Consider the following 21525-nt stretch of genomic DNA (forward strand, 5'->3'; position numbering starts at 1 on the left):
TGCTGAGCTGAAAGGAGGCAGAGCTCAGGTCCCCTACCAGTCCATGGCCTGGGGCTTGAGGACCCCTGCTATAGGCCACTTAGAGCATCTGCCCAGAAAGCAGCCTTAGAGACTGTGCCAGCATGTTCATTTTTGATGAAACCTGGCCTGCCACGTTGCATGAGCTTAAAGGAACGTTACTGTAATTACCTGGCCCTATACCTGGTTTCCAGGATCAGCAGCCAGAGAGGTCTTGCTGTTTGCTTTTGAGCTACTCACATGTGCTCACTTCCAGCTGCTGGATGAGCAGTGAAATCAAAATAGCTTCTGACAGTGATCATCCTTGCATGGGGGATCCCATGCTCAGGGTGAAGGCAGACATTCTTTTTTCTTACAGCGAAGAGCAAGGTTTACTGTCATTAATAGAAAACCATCTGTGCTACCTAATGAGGTTCTAAGGATTGGATTCTATGTCAAGGCTAAGGCAAAGTGGCAGTTGCTCCCTGCGTAGGTGACGTTAGGAGCCTCAACCTGTCAGCTGCTGCGAGAGGCCTGGCGTGGCAATAACGCAAAGGCAAACTCTTAAGGAGCACTGTAAGTACTACTGTAAATCTTATCTCTATATTTCACTACTAGTGTTTTAGTTCAGGCTATGATAACAAAAATATCATAGGCTGGGTATATTTGTGGCTTAAACAACAAACATTTACTCTCACAGTTCTGGAGGCGGGAAGTCCAAGATGGAGATGCGGGCTGGTTCAGTGTCTGGTGAGAATTCGCTTCCTGGTTCATAGATGGCGCCTCCAGGCTGTGTCCTCACATGGCAGAAGGGGCGAGAGAACTCTCTGTTCTCTTCTTATGAGAGCACGGATCCCATTCGTGAGGGACCCACTCTCCTGACCTAACCACCTCCCAAAAACCCCACCGCTCCATACCATCATGTTGGGTTTTAGGATTTCAACATAGAAATTGTGGGGGAACACAAACATTCAGTCCATGACAACCGGATTCTGTCAAAGGATCCCCTCAGAATCTTCCCTGGGCTTCATGGTGGTGATGCTCAGCTGAGTGGATCTCAGCAAGCCACTGTATCTTCTGGAGAGACAGCTGTCCTTTGCTATTTTTCAATAGCTGGAGGTGGAAGGTGCCATTATTGGTCCAATTCTTCAGCCCCCTCTGTATTATATCGTTTCCCCGTGACTTTACCGTTTTTCCCACAAAAGGTCGAACATACTTCGCACTTATTCCCCTTCCTTTAACTTCCGCTATGGGACTAGCGTTGGCCAATAAATGAAAGCGGAAATGAAGGCGCACCTTTACAGGCTTTGCTGCTTCCACTCGTGCTCTCACTCTATGTGCCTGTGCCTGGCCACGCCGAGAGCTTCCCCCAGACAGCGCTGGCTCCTTTACCAGGATCTCAGAGTAACCAGGAGCCCCGACCCCCTAGAGAAGCCACGTGCCGCTGAGGCTCAGAAGCAGATGGCCCAGCCAAACCCAGCCCAGATCAGCCACGCCCCAGCCAACCTGGAGGCTCCCGGGCTGAGGAACCGCTGACTGCTGCGTGTCCAACCCCGAGGCTCCTAGCTAAGAAACCACCCACTCCTGTAAGCTGCGCGATTCGTGGTTTCGTGTTACACAGTAGAATCGTGACCCTAGTCACCTGATGCACAGGCATCTTCTTTAACAATTTTTTGGGGAGTTGTCAACCTGAGTTGCAGTTAAGAGATGAGCGTTTATAATTTTTTTTGAAGCAAGGTATCAAAGATTTTTTTTTAAGGTTCCTTATAGCGCTAAAGGCACAAAGGAGACTTCGCTCTGTTTTCCAGGCGTGTTGTTGTCTATTTATTAACAATCTCACGGCTCCCATCCCGCGATGGTTGTTACAGAAAATATGTTCTACAGCTAGATACACATTAAAGTTTGGTTAAAGATAAATTTGTTTAAAAATGAATAGATCAATACAATCAATTGATTTTTAAAAGTTCCCCCCCCCCGACCTTTTTTTTTTTTTTTTTCATTTATCCACCAAAAAAAGAATGTACAGAGAGTCTCTTTGGCCAGGGACTATCTTAGGCTCTGGCACAGCAGGGAACCAAATCACACCCTGTCCTTGGGAGCGACATTCTGCAAGGGCTGAGCCACTCTTCAGCCAATTGTGCCCACTTTGTCTTTATGTCTTTGGTTAGACTAAAGGAAGAGCCACAGCCTGTGTTTGTAAAGTCACCCAAGCAGGGTAAATAGAATAGAAACAGATCATAAAATGGTGACAGCCTAGCTCAAATATCAATTAGGCTCCACCAGCAGAAAATGCAATTTTATATTTTCTAAAAATCAACTTAAACTTAGAAATTATCGTTAAGGCAGAGTGTGGTGGCTCATGCCTGTAATCCAGGCACTTTGGGAGGCAGCGGTGGGCGGATCACTTGAGGTCAGGAGTTCGAGACCAGCCTATCCAACGTGGTAAAACCCCATCTTTACTAAAAGTACAAAAATTAGCCAGGCATGGTGACGCACTCCTGTAATCCCAGCTACTCTGGAGGCTGAGGCAGGAGAATGGCTTGAATCTGGGAGTTGGAGGTTGCAGTGAGCTGAGATTGCACCACTGCACTCCAGCCTGGACAACACAACAAGACTCTGTCTCAAAAAAAAATTATCTTTAAATTTACAGAGATTTTTGTACACCCATGTTGGCCCATAGTCCCAGTTGAGTTACCATAGCAGTATTATTCACAATAGCCAAAAGACAGAAGCAACTCAAGAATACCTTGATTAATGAATGGATAAACAAACAAAATGTGGTGTGTGTGTGTATATATATATATATATACTCACATATGTGTGTATATATGTGTATATGTGTGTGTATATATACCATATTTTGTTTATTCATTCATATGGATAAACAGAACTTCTTCATCTATATGTATACATATAATTATGTATATATATATTATACATATAGCATATATATATATGTGAGACATATTATTTAGCCTTAAAAAATAAAGGACATTTTGGCACATGCTACATACAGCATGTATGAGCCTGAGGTCATTATACTAAGTGAAGTAAACCACTCACAAAAAGGCAAATACTGTATGATTCCACTTATATGAGGTACCAGAAATAGTCAAATTCATAGAGATGGAAAGTAGAATGGAGGTTGCCAGTGGCTGCAGGGAAGGGGAGAATAAGAAGTTAATTGGTTCAAAATAGTTGTGTGTGTGTGGGTGTAGGGGGATGGTGGACAATGAAAACGAAAGCCTGGGTACAAAAGCTCTGTGTGATGTCGACTGGGGCACTTGGCCTCTCTGATCCTGGGTGAAATAATCTTAATTTAAGGGATTGGCCCCAAGGATAATGGGGCCAGAGTTAATGGAGACTGAGTTTCAGTTTGGAAAGACGAAAAATTCTGGAGATGGATTGTGGCCATGGTTGTACAATGTGAATGATCGTAATGCCACTAGACTATATATTTAAAAATGGTGAAGATGGTATAGTCTAAGTTATGTATATTTAACCACAATTTAAAAAAATTTAAAAATGAATTTTAAACATTTAATCCACCACATCGTAAGCCAAAAAGCTCTGTGTGACCTTGAGTGGCGCACTTGGCCTCTCTGATCCTGGGTGGCATAATCTTAATTCAAGGGATCAGCCTCAAGGATAAAGCCTCTGTTTCTCTCTGGCAGATTGAGTTAGGTTATATGTCATCCTTCTTTGGCTGACCCATGTACAAGGTCAATGCCAGTCCAGGCTGCCACAGGCAACAGGTCTCCCTTCTTGCAGTGTGAAATCGCTTTGCAGACTTAGGACAGCAGGACTCGTTTCCTGTTGCTCTGATCCCATAGCTTTGGGCTTCACAGTTAACCTGCTGTTCATTGTTTTCCCTTGACTCTAGCGCGCCTGCTCCTCTATCAGGAAAATATGATTTTTTGGAAAAGGAAGTTCCACGCTAAAGCCATGCTAATTAGTACTTGTTTCACAGAGACAATAGCTCATTTAGGAATCTCTTTCTTGAAACAAAGGCAAAATAAGTATCTGCTAGATTTGGTGCCAAGGGTGTCACGCCTTAAAGCATGCCTGGGGATACTTTCCTGTCAAGAAAAAAAAAAGATATGAATGTTCGTCACTGAACGAGAAGACACAATTGGTTTCCCTATGCCATGGGCAGCAGCCTCTGTGTAGCTCTATTAGGATGATCTGTGCTCTGCAGAAAGCCAATAGGATGGAGTGGAGCAACCACCTCACTTTCCATATGGACAGCTGAAGGATAGGTAACTTGAAAGGTGTGCGCTGGGTCAGATCTGAGGTCTTTTTTGAGAAATGCTGAGATGATGCAAGCTCTCAAAAGGCACTGCAGAAACCAAGCATTTCAAAGGTCAAAGGAAGATTTTCAAGGGAAAACCAAAGCCTTGGATGGCTAGAGGAGTTCTAGATTTGCAAGCGGCAACCTGAAAGCAGGTTAAATATATATACATACATATATACATCTATGTATGTATAGATGTATATACACAAAACATTTCTCTCATAAGAGGGGCTTTACATAATTGATTTTTGTTTTCAGAGGCATTGCTCAGTCTATCTTGCCTTGGTATCTACCAAGCAGTGTCAAAACTTCTAGAGAATTGGGTGTGTGTGAGCATGTGTGCACACGCGAAAGTGTCTGTGTGTGTGTGTGTAAGTGAAGGTACTCAACTAAGTGTCACGTCAGATGTAAGCAGGTTGACAGCAACAGCACAGGTTTCTTTCATTGCAAATAACAACCAATGTCAGTTTGGTGCCTGCCACAGTTGGGGGCCCTGGGAGGCTGACACCGAGAGGGTGGTCAGCATGCCAGATGCTTGTTAGGGGCATACGATTGACACCAGTGGAGCTTCTGGAGGGGCTGGAAGCCAAATTGCAAAGAGGGAGGAGGTGGGCTGCCATGCCAAGGCTTCAGCTGGTCACAGAGAGTTCTGAGCAGCATGGCCCTTCAGACGTGTGCTGTATGGGGAGGAGGTGCCAGCCAGGCTCTTACACCCCTACATCCATCACTCCCTGCAAGGGGGCTGCCATAGGGCAAGGGGACTGTCTTCAGACAAGACAGCCCCCAAAGAGGGCTGATAGCTGAGGGTGATCTTCCGGCCACTGGGAGAATAGACCTTCAATTCCTGAAGGGGAATTTGGGCTACACATCACTATGTCTACCAAGGGAATGAATGACTGGAAAGAAGGAAGGGAGGGACAGAGGAAGGGAGAGAGAGAGGTGAGAGAGAAGGGACCGAGAGGCAGGGGAGTGTAGGGAGGGAGGAAGGAGGAAAGAAGGAAGAAAGGAAGGAATGAAAGAGGAAGGAGGGAAGGAAGGAAGGAAGCAAGGAAGGAAGGAAGGAGGGAGGGAGGGAGGGGAGGAAGAGGAAAGGAGGTGGCTGTACTGTGATGTGTTATGATGGGAGGGATCACTAGGTCATTTTAATCTTTCTGAGTCTCAACTTCTCAATTTGCAAATGAGATCATCCTTACCTGTTTTACAAAGCCATTATGAGGATCAAATTTATGCAAGCCCTTAATGCATTGCACAGAACTATACAAATATGAGCTTGTACGATTACATAATGCTCCAAGAGTCAAGGAGCCCCACTAAAAACAACGCAGACTTGTAGTCTCTAGGCCAATGGTTGTCAAACATAAATGAGCATCACAGTCACCTGGGGAATGATTAAAATGCAGATTTCTGGGCTGTCTCCAGAGGATCTGATGCAATGGATTTGGGTTGGAGTCTGAGAATCTGTATTTCTTTTTTTTCTTTTTGAGACGGAGTCTTGCTCTGTCGCCCAGGCTGGAGTGCAGTGGCGAGATCTCAGCTCACTGCAACCTCCGCCTCCCGGGTTCAAGTGATTCTCTAGCCTCAGCTTCCCAAGTAGCTGGGACTATAGATGCATGCCACCACACCCAGCGAATTTTTTGTATTTTTAGTGGAGTCAGGGTTTCACCATGTTAGCCAGGATGATCTAGATCTCCTGACCTCTTGATCCACCCGCCTCAGCCTCCTAAAGTGTTGGGATTATAGGCATGAGCCCGGCCGAGAATCTGTATTTCTAACAAGCTCCAGGTGATGCTGGCACTGCTGGTTCCTGAACCACACACTCTGCAAAGCACTGCTCTAGGCTACCTGAGCACCACCACGCAGTTTTTCATGATTACTGTGATGGTTATTCTTAAGTATCCACTTGACTGTGCCATAGGGGGCTGAGATACTTGGTTAACCATTGCCTGGGTGTGGTTAGATGTTGTTCATAGGAGGGGGTTCTGGATGAGATGAAGGTTTGATTCAGTAGACTGAATCAAGCAGATGGCCCTCCCCCGTGCGGGTGGGTGGGCATCACCCAGTCTGTTGGAGGCCTGACTAGAACACAAAGGCTGAGCAAGGGACGATTCAGACTTTTTGGCCTGACTGTCTTCCAGATAGGCCATTGTTCTTCTCCTGCCTTTGGACTCGGACCCGGAATGTAACTATATCATTGGCTTTCCTGGGTCTTCATTGTGTGGATTGTAGATTTGGGGAGTTTTCAGTCTCCAGAATCTTGTGAGCCAATTCTTTATAATCTCCCTCTCTCTCTATATATATATGCATATATATATACACACAAATATTAGCACACATATGTGTGTATGTATATATTTATATTAGTATAACATACTTATACTAGTATTAATATATTTATATATTAGTATATATACTATTAAATATATATAACAGTATAGTATATGTATACTATAAATATTGGTATACATACTAGTATTAGTAATATATTAGCATATTAGTATTTGTATATGTATTAGTTATATATGTCATATATGCCAACATTTAATATATATATAAAATGCTATATATATAACATATATAATATATATAATAAAATGTTTTTATATATATATATATATCTCCATCCTGTTGGTTCTGTTTCTCTGGAGACCCCTGACCACAACCACACATCCAAATATGTCAATCCCTCTAGTTGAACAAAAAGACAGGCTAAACAGAGCTTTCAGAAATATATTAGCTGTTGGCCGAGCACGTTGGCTCATGCCTGTAATCCCAGCGCTTTGGGAGCCTGAGGCTCCGGATCATCTGAGCCTGGGAAGCCGAGGCTGCAGTGGGCTGAGATCGTGCCACTTCACTCTACCTGGGGTGACAGAGCAAGACCCTGTCAAAAAAAAAAGAAAGAAAGAGAGAGAGGAAGGAAGGAAGGAAGGAGGGAGGGAGGGAGGGAGGGAAGGAAGGAAAAGAAAGAAAGAAAGAAAGAAAGAAAGAAAGAAAGAAAGAAAGAAAGAAAGAAAGAAAGAAAGAAAGAAGAAAGAAAGAGAAAGAAAAAGAAAGAAAGAAAGAAAGAAAGAAAGAGGGAAAGAGAAAGAGAGAGAAAGAAAAGAAAAAGAGAGAGAGAGGGAGGGAGGGAGGAAGGAAGGAAGGAAGGAAGGAAGGAAGGAAGGAAGGAAGGAAAGAAGGAAGGAAGGAAATATATTAGCTGCTGCTTACATTTTAGAAAGTATAGAAAGCAGGCCGGGCATGGTGGCTCACGCCTGTAATCCCAGCACCTTGGGAGGCTGAGGCCAGCGGATCACCTGAGGTCAGAAGTTTGAGACCAGCCTGGCCAACATGGTGAAACCCCGTCTTTACTAAAAATACAAAAAATTAGCCAGGCATCATGGTGGATGCCTATAATCCCAGCTACTCGGGAGACTGAGGCAGGAGAATAGCTTGAACCCAGGAGGCAGATGTTGCAGTGAGCCAAGATCATGCCACTGCACTCCAGCCTGGCCAACAGGAGCGAAACTCTGTCTCAAAAAAAAAAAAATTATAGAAAGCAGTCAGCACCTGTCATTAGAAACCACAGGGATTGTTTTAAGAGGGAGATGAAAGCCAGGATGATTTGGGGCTGAAGGAGAATTTAGAGCCATCGGGCTGAACCATACTATTGTGATCCTGACCATTCCGATATTCTCAGTCTTATCAACGAAGACATGATCTCAGGCGAGATAAGCAATTTGTTTCCAGGCCCACAGAACAATGTTGCAGAGAAACGCAGCCTTTGCCTCTGTCCATCCCTCTTCTCATCTCTGATCTTGCTTTCAGCGCAACCTTCCTCTGTGACCTCCTCTCCTGGTCTCTCCCTCTCTTTTTTTTCCTTGCTTTTTCTCTGCAACCAGCCTCATTTGGGTCTTTAAGCATCAAAACACCTCTTAGACCCTGTGGTGCCTTAGCAGCATTGTTCTTAGACAAAAGCCTGAGTCACTGGCCCTGTGTCAGCTACAGTAAAAGGCTGCCCCACCCCCAGCAGCGCCTGTTAATCCTATAATCCAACACCGATTTCTACAAGACTATACACAATTTTCATTGGTCCAAATTTCAAGTAGGTCAGGCAGCTGATGTTCAGCTGATTAGAGGCTCCTAGGGACCCTACAGATTCAGAGGCAGCAGGGTGTCTTGTAACTTCAGAGGCGACATCTTTCTGAATCAACACAGGCTGCTGAAGAATTCTAATCTTGGTGGCGCTTGAAGCAATTGAGAGTAATGAGCCTCTGTCAATTTGAGAGCAAGACATCCTTTGAATCTCACCCCCCTCTGCTGAGCCATTTTTGGATACAGTAGAGCTTTTAGTCTTTCTCTAAAAAGGAAGTTTAACAAAATGTGTTTTCAAGAGAGAAAGTACAATCATTTTTTCCATGGGAAAGTAGAGTTTGTTTAGTAAAAGCGTTTTGACCAGATCAAAATATGAATTCACTAGTAGAATCTGACAGTCCATGTCACAAATCACTGGTTGTGATAAAGGAGGCATCATCCCAGGAGTTCATGTGTGTGTCGTGCAGTGAGCTTTCCCCAGGAAATGAGATTAGAATTCTGGTTCTCATTGCTATCTGGAATTTCTAGATATACATAGGTAGACCCAGTGAAGGATTCCATTGCTCTAGAAGAGGGGAAGCCATAGATGGTAGCAGACTGCGTGGAGCAGTTCCCTCCCCCTGCCCACGTATCCCCAAGTCTCCATTCCCATTGCCACCAACTTGCACTGGTCTGAGAAATAACATTTGATTGTATTAGGCCACTGCACCTGGGAGGTTGTATATTGTAGCATTTAGCATGCATGGACTACATGGGGTGATAAGACCAAGTTGGGAATGAGGTAGGGGAATTAAGGACTAGGAGACTGCCATGGACTTGCTCAGCATCCACCACCCCTGTAGGGAAGGACCAGGGAGCTCAACAGATCTGCCTGGAATCTCCTTGAAAGAGAAGCAAAATTTAATGAGTAGGGAGAGAGAGACTTCTTAATGTTTGTTTTTGGTTTTCTAAACCAGATGAGCCTTAAAATGATATATATCCTGGTTGGAAGGAAATATCCCTTTAGGAATATCTAAATTCTTTTGTATATCTAATATGCTAAGAATATCCAAATTCCTTTTCCCTGGTTAACTGGGTGCCTTTTGACTTGATCTCCTCCCACAGGGAGGATCCCTGGGTCCCACTGCTCCTGACCAGTCCATCACCCACAGAAACAAATGAAGTGGAATTCTCACTAACCAATCAGGCTCATGCAGGCTTCCACCCTTGGCCAGCAGCTCCCCAGGCTCCTCCCCTGAGAGAGATCTGCATGCCACCAGCTGAGGAAATGGCCTTGGCCACAGGAAATCACCAAGTTCCTCCCTAATTGCCCAGCAGACACCTGCTGGATGCCCCTGTGCTGTTGTCTGGGAACCGTACCTGGCTAAGAGTAGGCAGCTGAAAATATTCACAAAAAGTAAGAAAAGAAAGAAATGGAAAAAGAGAAGAAAAAGCACCAGAAAGAGGGAAGGAAAAGGAAGGGAGGAAGGAAAAGAGAAAGAAACAGAGGGTATGGGGAAGAGTGATAAACTGACCTGACCAATAGGCAAAGAAGCTAAGAAGCTCGGACACCAGGCACCAGGGCAGAATTCTCTTGTCTGAACATCACCACAATGACACTCTGCTGGGATAAGCACCGGGAGGTGCAGATTAAGAATGGCAGCCAGGACGCTGAGACTCTGTCTTCATTTTCCGATGACAACGAGGAGCATCCTGGTGCTGGGGCTGGTGTTTTGCACAAGCGCAAGATGAACATCACTTCCCCCAAGGGACAGAGCCTAGACAACCCCAGGGCTTTCCTTCTTGAGCCTAAGATGGGTCCCTCCTCTTTCCCAAGCATGACAGTCATCAGTTGTGCCTTTACCAGCCCTGGCAGCTCCATGGCCAGCTCCCTTCCTCCTGCCTTCCTCACCCCTTCTCCTGCCCAGAGCTCCTTTCCTCCTCTCTCCCTTCCAGGGAGGCAGTGTGGGAGTTGGGTGAGGGGAGCAGAACTCCAGATTCAACCACTGGGTCTCCTGCTGCCACCAGGGGAGGCCTGATCAGGCAGGTTACTAGGTTACTATGGTCTGAATGTTATGTCTCCCTAAATCCATATGCTGAAACCTAATCCCCAAGGTATTAGGGAGTGGGGCTTTTGGAAGGGGACTTGGTCATGAAAGTTGGCCCTCATGAGGGCAGTCAGTGCTCTTATAAGAGGCCAAAGTGACCAGAGTTCTTCCCTTCCACCAGTGAGGACTAAAGAAGACGCCATCTATGAACCAGGAAGAGCACCCTCAGCAGACACTCCATCTGCTGGCACCTTGATCTTGAACTTCTAGCCTCCACAAACCCATTCCTCTTGTTGATAAGCCACCCAATTTATAGTATTTAGTTATGGCATCCTGAACAGACTAAGATATAGGTCCTGACTAGATATTTATTATTATTGTTATTTGGCAAAACTCCACTCACAATTCACCTCCCTTCGTTGGTTTCTTCACATAATCCCAGACTTTGGTTAGCGCTATATTTTAAATGAGCAGACGAAAGGAATGGAAAGGTAAATATTCCCTGCCTTCTTTTGCTCCTGCCTGCCTGTGGGAGGGGAGTATGACTTTCCCTGGGGCTGGGGGAGAAGATTTCCTCGGAGACTTTCTAGAGTAAGGGATGTGAATCTCAAGGAAGAGAGAAATAAGGAAAAGTAGGGGTGTCTTCGCTTTGTGCTGCCCCAGAAGCAGACCCAGATACAAGAATGGGAGTGCAAGTTTACTATGAAGGTGGAGAAAACTCTGATGGCGGTGGGAATGGGAGAGAGAGGAGGGAAGTCTGTCAGGAAGGAAGTGAAGCCACTTACTGCCCTGGACACTAGGAGCTTAGTCCCTCTTGGAGCTCAGGAAGCTGGAGTGGAACACACACCTCTGAGTCCTCTTGCCCTGGGGTGAAGATGCTGGGGTATTTCCTATACGACTCCACCATTCGGCATGGGTTGGAGGCTGTCCCACTCCATGCCTCTGTGTAGGTTGCAAGGAGAAACCCACTTTCTCAGGTAAAAGAATGCAGGTGCTGCCCTGGGGTGCTTTGAGGTGGTAAGGGATGGGCAGGGTAGGAAATCAACACTGTCTGCTACAGATTTTAAGAAAGGAAAGCTATGATCTTCAGTCCTCCTGATGGCGTGTGAGACACCTAAGCAAGGAACATCGGTTCTTTGGAAGTTGCTTCCTGATTGCCACAGTTTATCCTTTTCAATGAGCTGCTCCCAAAGCCTGGGCCACAGATCCTCACCACCTGGAGGCTGCAATGTCCTTTGCCCAGCTAAGCACCGCCGTCTCCTGAGCCTGGATCCACAGCTGGACTGCAAGCTCCTCAAGCATGGAGCTGCTGTGTGATTGCTTTTGTGTTTCTGAATCCTGCCTGAGATGTCTTATTTACATGCCCAGAGGAGGAGACAGAAGAGGAGAGCATTGAAAAAGATCCCTTTCATCAAGGAAGGGGTTTTCAGAGACCACGCTTGTGAGAAGCTTTGCATAGGGGCTGATCACTCTTCTGCTGAATATCATAAATCTCTTATTGTCCGCTGCTAAAGATGCAAATCGCAGAACTTTTGTTTGGGGCTACTGGCCAGATAGCCTGTAACTGCCTAAGCAAAGCAGTCTCTGAAACACCCATGAGGCCTGGGGATGAAACGGTGCTTCCTAAGTGATCTTGGCCCAAGCGTCACCCGGAGGGCACCCCTAGAGTTTGTTTCTCCCTGTCGTTGAGTGTTTATTGCACTCCAAGGCTAAGGTTCAGCTTAGACTTGGAGGTGGGGACTTTGTTTCTGCCCTGTCCTAATCCTGGAGCCATTTGCTCATCTTTAGGAGAATGATCTGCGGTCCCTGTGCTGTGCTGAGGCCCCCCGGCTTATTCAGAGAGAATGAGCCTTAATAGATGGGAAGGATGAAAAGGAGCAGCTTGCTTCAGGGAGCTGCACTAACCTGGCAGGGTTCTTAGGGACCATTGAGTTTTGTTCCACTTCCTGAACTCCAAATGGCCCCCCAGGGCCCTGGAAGAGTGATTTCAGCTCCAGGGAGCCAATGTGCTCTCCTCATGCAAAAGATCAGACCAGTGTCTTTGTAATCCTAGCTGCCTCGGGAAGGTGCTGGCTGCCTCAGCACCTGCTGCATAAATGCCCATAAATATTGATATTGTTTTAAATTGCCTATTAAAGAGAATGGCCAACTCCATGAAACCATTTTAAATAAATGTAGATTGCCTGACTCCCTGGCTCTTTTTTCATCCTCTGATCCTCTGGAGCTTTTTCTTCTAAAACAAGCTCCCTTCCACCCACAGCACAGGAGGCCCCCGGGAGTGACATGGGCTCCCTGCTCAGCTCCCTCTCTGCAGAGAGGTCCCAGCCTAGTTCTTCCAAATACTTATCTTCTGAAGTAAGTGGCAAGAAGAATGGGGTCCGGAGGAAAGAGAAATGGAGCAGCTGAGGAAGGGCAAAGATGAGCAAGGAAAAGGAAGATCTGGGATTGAAAGAAAAGAAAAAAAAAGATGAAGACATAACAGGAAGAGAGATGACATTAAACTTCCCCAAAGGTCAGGGATGTCATAGCCCAGTGCCTCTCCTCACTGCCTGGGCTGGCCAAAGCATTCCCTTTCTTTCATAAAGATTTCCCTAAGCTTCCAGCTGCCAATCAAGCTTCTGTTCTGCTTCCTAATTCCTCCATCCTTCCCTGTGGCACTGATCACTTTCTAATATTCAGCTGTTGTGGACAGACTTTGAGGGCAAGGAGTTGTCATTTATATATCTGTAAACCTTTCACAGCACAGAGTATAACTTTCAAAAAGTCAAAAATGTGATGTCATCTCAATTGCTGTGGTTTAAATGTGTCCCCTCCAAAATCCAAGTGTTGCCAATGTGATCATATTAAAAGGTGAGGTCTTTAAGAGATGATTAGACCATGGCAGCTTTTTTCCCGTAAGTGGGATTAAGGCTCTTATAAAAGGGGCTCCGGCTGTGTTTGGCTGGCTTGCTCTTCTGCTCTTCTGCCACATCAGCACACGGCATTTGTTCTCTCTTGCCCGTCCACTTCTGCCATGTGAGAACAGAGCAAGAAGGCTCACACCAGATGCCAGTGCTTTAATCTTGGACTTCCTAGACCCCAGAAAGAGTAGAAATAAAATTCTGTTCTTTATAAAGTACCTACCTTTCTGTGGTATTCTGTTACAGCAGCACAAGTAGACTAAAACACCAATCTAGAATACATGTGTCAAAGAGAGATTTCATTACAAAAAAGGGAACACATATAATAGTAATGCCTGTTCAGAAAGCATTTTTAAGAATTGGGTATTTCTAGAAGGTTTTTGGGAACAGAGTGTTAGAATATGATTGCTAGGTTATATAGAACATTGGTTAATGTTCTACCGAGCAATGAAACCACAGCTTCTCTAATGGACAGAAATCTACAGGTAACATCACAGAGACTGGGCTCTAATCAGTAAGCAACAATGTCAAACACAGATTTATTCTCCCAGAGGTTTGAAAATCCTGGCAGGTCATGGCATGACAATGGAAGGACATGCTGTCAGTCACTTCTTATTTCCAAGTTTGGGATGATGTTTCTAAATATAAGTGTTCAATAAATGCTTAGTGAATGACTGCATGAATAAGACAGGAATCTAAAATCATGTCCTATAGGTAAACAGATCTTTTCTATTTCTAATTCCCATGATTTGTTCAGTGTAGCTCTTGGGCCCTTTATTGAACTGTGGAAATTTGAAGGAAGTCCATTGACATGAGAATGGCTTTTCATATTGTACGATTAAACATGACTTATATTTTAATAAAGTCCTGGGTCACATGCGTGGCATGAAAATACAGCATTCAATGCTGTTGCCCGAGTCATGTGAATATGGTGTTATTAAAAGTCAGAGCGTATATAATGTAATTGCATGCAGGACCCTGGCTTTCCTTCCCACTACATCTCCTGTTTTATTAAAAATAAAACTTTCTATGTAACCAAAATATTAAATGGGGATTGTAATATTAGCTCTTATTTAACTCTAAATTGACTCTGGATCATTTTACATGGTTAATGGCTTACAAAAAGCAATGTACTAAAATCCAGGTCTCACATAAATAGTAAGGTCCAATTTAATGGCAACAAGCTAGGAGAGTTTTTAAATGACCATTTAAGAAACATTTTGCTAAGTCCTTGTTTTACTCCTCCACCTCCAGTTCAGTGCTGAGAGCCCAGAGCTTAGCTCAGCTAAGTGCAGAATGAAAATGTTCAAAAGTCACCCTCACGCATCCATTCAGAGACCTATGCATCTGCCTCCTTGTTGACAATGTGTGCCAGTGAGGGTGGCACGGCTACGTGCCCAGCTGCCCTGCACTACATCTGGAATCTAGCCTGGTCTCTGGCATTCCATGTGGTGGGGTCACTGAGCAAGCCTGCTGGGACCTGTGGCCATGGGGTCTCTTTCTCCAGCTCTCTTTTCAAAGGTGTGGAACTTCAGTTCCCCAGGATTACTGTCATGCTGCAAGGCTCAGCCAGCCCTGGAACACAAATTAATTCCTTCTTCTTAATCTTTCAGGGGCACAGACATCTTTGAGAATCTGTAGAAAGTTAAGCCTGGGTTCCTTCCTTCAACTGCAAGCACACATGTATATGCCTCCCCTTTCCAATATAATCTAGAGGGTTGAGGTAATGAAACCCTGTGAGGGACATTTGGAACCTGTAAGGGCCCCACAAGAGTGACAGATGTTCCTTTCAAGTGTTTGCAAACAGACAAGCCTTCCCTGGTCAAAGAAATGTTATCTCTCTTTGAATATAAAGAGGTGAGCTTGGAAATGGGGGTAATGACAAGATCGGTTACTCTGCTGGCATGTGAGGCTATCTCTGGGAGCCACCTCTTCTCCAGGATGGGGCAAGCCCCTGAGAACCTATCTTCCCACGGGAGTATTGCAACAGCTATGTGCCAGGTCCCCACTTCCGTGTGTCTGGTCCACCAGCTTTCCAACTCATCTCTGATCTTGTGTGCAGTGGACTCCACTAGTCACTTACAGCACATGTGCATGCATATGTGCTTCCCTCCTGAAGACTGCTCTTTTTTTTGCCCACTTAGATTCACACAGTGGTTTCATCCAGTCCTTTGTGTAAGAATTGAAACTCAAACCAGTACAAAGCAAGCACAGACCCAGAACTAAGGGATCACCAGCTTAGCAGAAGTCCAGGGCTGTTTGGGATGTGAACAGGGAGATAAGTTTGGAGAGGTAGACTGAGGCACTTAGGCAGAGGGGCTCAAATGCTGAGTCAAGGCCTGGGGCTTGTGCTAATGGAGGTAAGATAAGACATCACTTGTAAAGTAAATCATCACCAATTTTACATCTGTTTTGCATATTCTGATTTTTGTAGATTAGCCTCTGTGCCAGACTTTCTCCCCTTCTCTCAAAATAGTAACACCCATATTGCTGCCCAACCCACAGACATGCCCAGCCTCCCTTGCAGCTACTCATGGCCATGGGTGAATGTTCTAGCTTAGAAGACGCATGAGCAATGCCTGTGATCCCCTTACAGTGAAGCCCTCATGCCATTCTCTCTGAAGAGCTCAGCCAAAGCAGCTCAAGCTCCAGCTCTGTTCTGGACCACGAGGATGGGGACTAGGTTGAGTGTGACAGCGTAGGTCCCTGGCAAATTCATAGAGCCACCAACACAGCTGGCTATCTCATCCCCTGCTTGATTTCTTCTATGTGTAAGAGAAATCAATATCTATCGCGCTGAGGCCACAGTTGCTCAGGGTTCTTGATTATGTATGGAATCCTATAAATACAGCTTCTCTGCCTCTTATCTATTTGTATTCCTTCTCCTTCTTCTTCTTCTGGATACAGGGTCTTGCCCCATTGCCCAGGCTGGAGTGCAGCAGCATAATCATAGCTCACTGCAGCCTTGAACTCTTGGGCTCAAGTGACCCTCCTGCCTCAGCCTCCTGAGTAGTCCTATTTTGTTTAAACTCCTCTTCTAAAACAATTCATTAGGCTTTAGATTTCTCAACTATATCTTTAAACATCTTCAGCTTCCTTTATTCACTTTCAATTTTTCTTCCACTGTACATGGAACATCCTCAATAAAGATAAATTAAAGGAATGAATAAGCACTTGTCCTTTGGAGGTTGTGGCTGTATTTTCCCTTGTTTAGGAACACAGAGTCTACAAACACAGGAGAGCTGGAAGTGAGAGTTGGGAGACACCACCCCAGAGTTCATTTACTTCGCTTTCCACCTAATAAAAAAAAAAGAAATCCCATTTACAAACATTTCCCATCACACTACAGCTCTATCCTTTCTTCCTTGTTTTCACTCCCAGCCCCAATAAATACGTCTTTCACAACACCTGGAAAACTTTGCACCAAACAACTTAAGCCACATCCTCCCTCCTTTCAGATCCACCCAAAGAGGTTATGGCTTCCAGAAAATTTCCCTTTGGCTATAAAACAGAGAAAGGCTAGCATTCCGTACTCATCCCACATCCGCTATTTAGAGTTTTGTGGGAATCAATGTTCCTGCTACCACCACTCCCAGCAAGAGGGCATGTTCAGAATGTGAATGGTGGCTGTGAGGCCTCAGCAGCTCAGAGCTTCTCCCTCTAGGGTCCAGGGTATGTCCCGTGCCCTTGAGCTGCTCCTCTGACTACAGGTGGGAACATAGGGGACTGGCAGTGAGAGCTGCCAGCCTCCTGGAGGGGTTAGGAACCCCACACACGTCCCCAGACAAGACAGGGAGTGCCACCTTTAGCACCCTGCCTCACCCAATTCATTCCTCCACAGCCTCAGTTGGGGTTCCACACCCTCCATCCACTGAAACCCATGTCAAGTTCACCTTCAACCCCATGCTATAACTTGAGAACATTGCTCTGTTCTCCTCAGACTCCTGGCTTCATGCAGGGCCCCCGCCCCTCGCTCTTTTGGAAGCCCTCCCCCTGGGCTCCTGAGACAGCACGCATCCCGTCTTTCTCCTGCATCGGTTGTTATTTCTTAGTTTCCTGTGCTGGCTTCTCCTTGGCATGGCTTTAAAGGTTGGAGACCCTCGTGGCTGGAGTCAGGCCTTGTTCCTCTAAGGGAGCTCACCCAATATCCTAGGCTTTAAAGGTGTCTGTGTGGAGAAGTCCCAAATTTCTGTTTCCACTCCCTCCGCTGAGCTCCCAGCTAGAATTCCTACCTCCTGCCTGAGTCCACCTTTGTCCCCTGCCAGCAACCAAACCTGCTGCTCTTTTCCATTTGAGGCAGCAGCTCTCATCCTCCTGGGTGTCTCCATGGTCTGGGAGCCCTCTTTTCTTTCTCCTTTCCTCATCTCCTGTCTCTCCTACCTCAGAACCACTCTCCAGTCTGTCCATGTCCCTCCGTCTCCTTGACCTCCATCCTCCTTAGACTAAGTCACCGCCCCTCCTCCCAGGATAATCGCAATCACCTCATTCATGCCCCTCCATTTGCTCTTCTGCTGGCTCTTCTCCATACAGTATCCAAATCAAGGGGCCTAAAATGCCAGTCATATTACATCACACCAGCTGAGAGCCAGCATAGCCTTCCTTCCTGCTCAGCGCCAAACTCCCAAACTCCTCACGATGGCCTCCAGAGGCCCTGCCCCAGGGTGCGGATTCTGCCTGATCCTCTAGCCCCACCATCCCCCATCCTCTCCACCGCCCTCCAGCCACACTGACCTCCTTTCTGTACCCCACAGTGCCAAGCTCTCTCCTATTCCCGGAGGTTGCCCCTGCATTTCCTCTGCACCCCAGTCCCCATTCTTCATGGGATTAGTTTGTCCCTAATCCCAGGGCCTCAGATCACCCTGACTTCTCAGAGACACCTCCCCAACCCACTGTGTCAAGTGGATGGAACTCCACCATTCTCTTCATCTCACAACCTTATTTATTTCCTTCACAACCACTCGTCGTATTCAAGTAAAGTATGTTCATGTGTCTGCCTCCCTATTTGCTGCCTTCCGCCCTGCAGTGTGTAAGCTCCAGGAGGCAGGGCCTCGTGTGCCTCCTCCTGGTGCATCTCCTGCGTCCCCAGTGCCTAGTGGGTGCACATCCATGTTTGCTGAATGCATGAAAGACCAGGGGAATATTACTTTTTTCTTTTTTCTTTTTTTTTTTTTTGAGACAGGATCTCACTCTGTCTCCCAGGCTGGAGTGCAGTGGCACAATCATGGCTCACTGCAGCCTCGACCTGCTGGGCTTGAACAATCCTCCCACCTCAGCCTCCGAAGTAGCTGGGACTACAGGTGCATGCCACCATGCCAAGCTAATTATTATTATTATTGTTATTATTTGTAGAGACAAGGTGTCATTATGTTGCCCAGGCTGGTCTCGAACTCCTGAGCTCAAGCGACTCTCCTTCCTTGGCCTCCCAAAGTGCTAGGATTACAGGCGTGAGCCACCACACCCGGCTGGAATATTATTTCTAAGAGGAGTTTATGAATAGCTCACTATGTGCCAACCTTTATACCAATCCCTTTCAATATACACTATCTCCTTGAATCACCCAAAGTAGGGTTACTTATCCCCATTCTAGAGTTGTGGAAACTGAGGCTTGGAGGTCACTGACTTGCTTCTGCTCACCTACCTGGTTTCGGGGCAGAACTGAACTGAGTCCCAGGTTTGTTTGGTTCTGCTACACCTACTGTCAGCAGTGAGAACAGAGCATTTTAATAGAAACGCTGGGACTATTTTAGTCTTCCTCATTGTTGAAAAACAGCAGGTGATCTAAGACAAAGCCCTCACCTGGAAAGACTCTTCAATGACCTCTTCCCCAGAGCTGCTTTCAGGTGGTTGCAACTGGTTACAAAATCCGGGGGCAGTCCTCACTCTCAGAACAAGTCTTTTTCTTAGCGGTGTGTTATCCCTCTCCAACGAGCAAAAGCTAATGGAGGACAGGCAGACCTGGGTCAGTTGCATTTGGAGGAGACTTGAAAGCCAGCACCACCACCTTCCTTTCATTCTGAGCGCTGTTGACCAAAGCCTGCCAGTTGGGGAGGGGAGACCCATGGACCAGAGCTCTCCCTCCTTCTGGGTCAGTCCTGGCCAGTTAGATTTGCATGTGTGAGGCCTGAAATAATAAAAATGGAAGGCAAGTGTTCCCTGATCCTAGAAACTGAACAAATGGGCGGATTCTGTGAGATCCGCAAAGGCAGGTACAACCTACTGGAAACCAAGAGGCTTTTGAAAACTTAGGGTAAGTACAGCTGAAAGGATTTCCAAAACGGAACACGCTGGTGTTCATCCAGATCAAGTGACAAACTGTTACCAGTGCTTCCAGAGTCCTGCCTGGGCCCTTCAGTCACCACAACCCCCGGTCCGTTATGTTCACCACTCCCCTGACCTCTGACCCCAGAGAGTCGGTTTGCCTGTTTCTGCTCTTATGTAAATGTAGCCATGTAGTGTGTATCCTTTTGTGCCAAGCTTCTTTCATCCAGTGTAATGTTTCTGAAAGCATTTGTTCATATTGTGAGTTGTCTATCGCATTTCACTGTGGGCAGACACCACAATTTGTCTGTTAGCTGTCTGGTTTTAACATACTTCTGATTAGTGTCACTTTCTAGGCTGGATGGGAACCAAATATGGTTTAATGCAGCCACCTCTTTAAAGATGGGGCCACTCCATAAATTTCATTTCATGCAACTAATGTCTAGGAAACATTCTTTCTCCTTCTTTATCACTCTCTTTTATGTGGATATATTTGTAGAACTATTTAGGCTCTGATCAGCCTTCACCGTGCATGGTTCTGGAAAAGGTACTGGACCAAGCCTTAGAAAGAGGAGTTTCTGCAACTGAATGTTATCATTGATGAATCCATTCCAATGGCATGGAATTAGTAACACCTGCCCTGCCTCCTCCCAGGGCTACTCTGAGGATCAAATGAGATAGAGCAGATATTATACAAGACCATATGATACAGCTTCATAAAAAAAAGACACACATGTATTCTATTTGGGAAAAAAAGGCTATAGTATACCATTATGAGTAGTAATGTTATAAAAGAATTTTTCTTATCTTTGCATTTTTAAAAATCCATATATTCAACATGGAAAATGTTTTACTTTAAAAATAAGAAATATGCTATCAAAGTCAAATAATATCTCTAGAAAAGCATTGAGATCTATAAATTACAAAATAAATGAAAGCCATTATATATTGCTTGATTGGCTCATAAGGAAGACTGGCTGGTTTTTTAAAAATAGAACTTTACTTTTTTGTAATCTATTTGGCAAAGCCAGAACAAAAACAGCTCCTGCTGAAAGATTAAAAGAAAAATAAAGTGCTTCACAGTTCAGGCTGCCAAGAGATAAATGGGGTCTACAATTCCTCACATTACCTTTCTTAACAAGGAGGCGGTTGTTGAACATGAGGATTGGTTACCTGTCTGAGAAGTGCCTGTGGGCTGTGCTTTTTCATCCTCTAGGTGGTTCTTAGGCATTATGATGATATGGGAACAAAATAAGGTCTCCCACGAAAGCAGAGTCGACAAGAGTCACGCCTTGAATTGAAGGTGAGTACACCTAACAATGGGTGGAAAACTCTTCTCATCTCAGTGGATAATTCAGAACAAAAGAATAGTCTCACTCTCTAGGGCTTGACGATCCCAGTTTCCATTGACCTTTACTTGGAAAATCCAAGTGAAGTATGTAAAAAGAGGTGATATTATTGAACTTTTTTGTGTGTTTTTTTTTTGGCGGGGGAGTATGCTTTGGCATTTGAGACTGGTTTTTCAACCTAAGAAACCTCTTATTATTATTCCCAAAGGTCCACTTTTAAAATAATCATTGTTTAAACATAGTGTCTCTTATATAACAGCCGCCTCTATGTCATCTGGGAGCTCCTCAGAAACACAGAATCTTAGACCCTGCCTCAAACCTCAAACCTACTGTATCAGAATCTGTATTTTAAGATCACCAGTGGATGCATGTTAAAATTTCAAAATCCCTTCTCAATAACAAAATTTAGGAAAATATAGGAAAGGTAGAGAGAAGGACAGTTTTGGTGTATGTATTAGTTCATTCTCACACTGCTATAAAGAACTACCTGAGGCTGGGTAATTTATAAAGAAAAGAAGTTTAATTGACTCACAGTTCCACATGGCTGGGGAGGCCTCAGGAAACTTACAATCATGGCGAAAGGCAAAGGGCAAGCAAGTACATCTTACCATGGCGAAGCAGGAGAGAGA

General features: G+C 45.3%; 2 long non-coding RNA genes across 3 annotated transcripts in view, besides 1 other annotated feature; one reads left to right on the forward strand and one right to left on the reverse strand.

Moving 5' to 3' along the window:
* The window catches only part of LOC105373531 (uncharacterized), a 28470-nt gene continuing 6945 nt past the window's right edge, over positions 1-21525 (forward strand). The window contains exons 1-2 of one of the 2 annotated variants that reach the window (XR_923144.3): positions 1-573; positions 20764-20850. This is a non-coding gene — a long non-coding RNA (uncharacterized LOC105373531). Of the gene's footprint in view, positions 574-18930; positions 19809-20763; positions 20851-21525 lie in introns of those variants that run through there. The other variant, XR_923145.3, reaches the window with a different exon arrangement.
* Positions 7912-8746: an enhancer, noted in NCBI's record as "NANOG hESC enhancer chr2:106567089-106567923 (GRCh37/hg19 assembly coordinates)". NCBI's record gives its function as "activates a minimal SCP1, AML or CMV promoter by ChIP-STARR-seq in naive H9 embryonic stem cells {active_cell/tissue: H9 hESC(naive)}" and the evidence as "EXISTENCE:reporter gene assay evidence [ECO:0000049][PMID:30033119]".
* Positions 16363-19694, reverse strand: LOC124906055 (uncharacterized). The gene is made up of 2 exons (XR_007087167.1): positions 19086-19694; positions 16363-16586 (listed from the first exon to the last, which is right to left on the reverse strand). It is a non-coding gene; the product is annotated as an uncharacterized LOC124906055 (long non-coding RNA).

This window comes from Homo sapiens, chromosome 2 (genome assembly GCF_000001405.40).
Source record: "Homo sapiens chromosome 2, GRCh38.p14 Primary Assembly".
Lineage (NCBI taxonomy): Eukaryota > Metazoa > Chordata > Mammalia > Primates > Hominidae > Homo > Homo sapiens.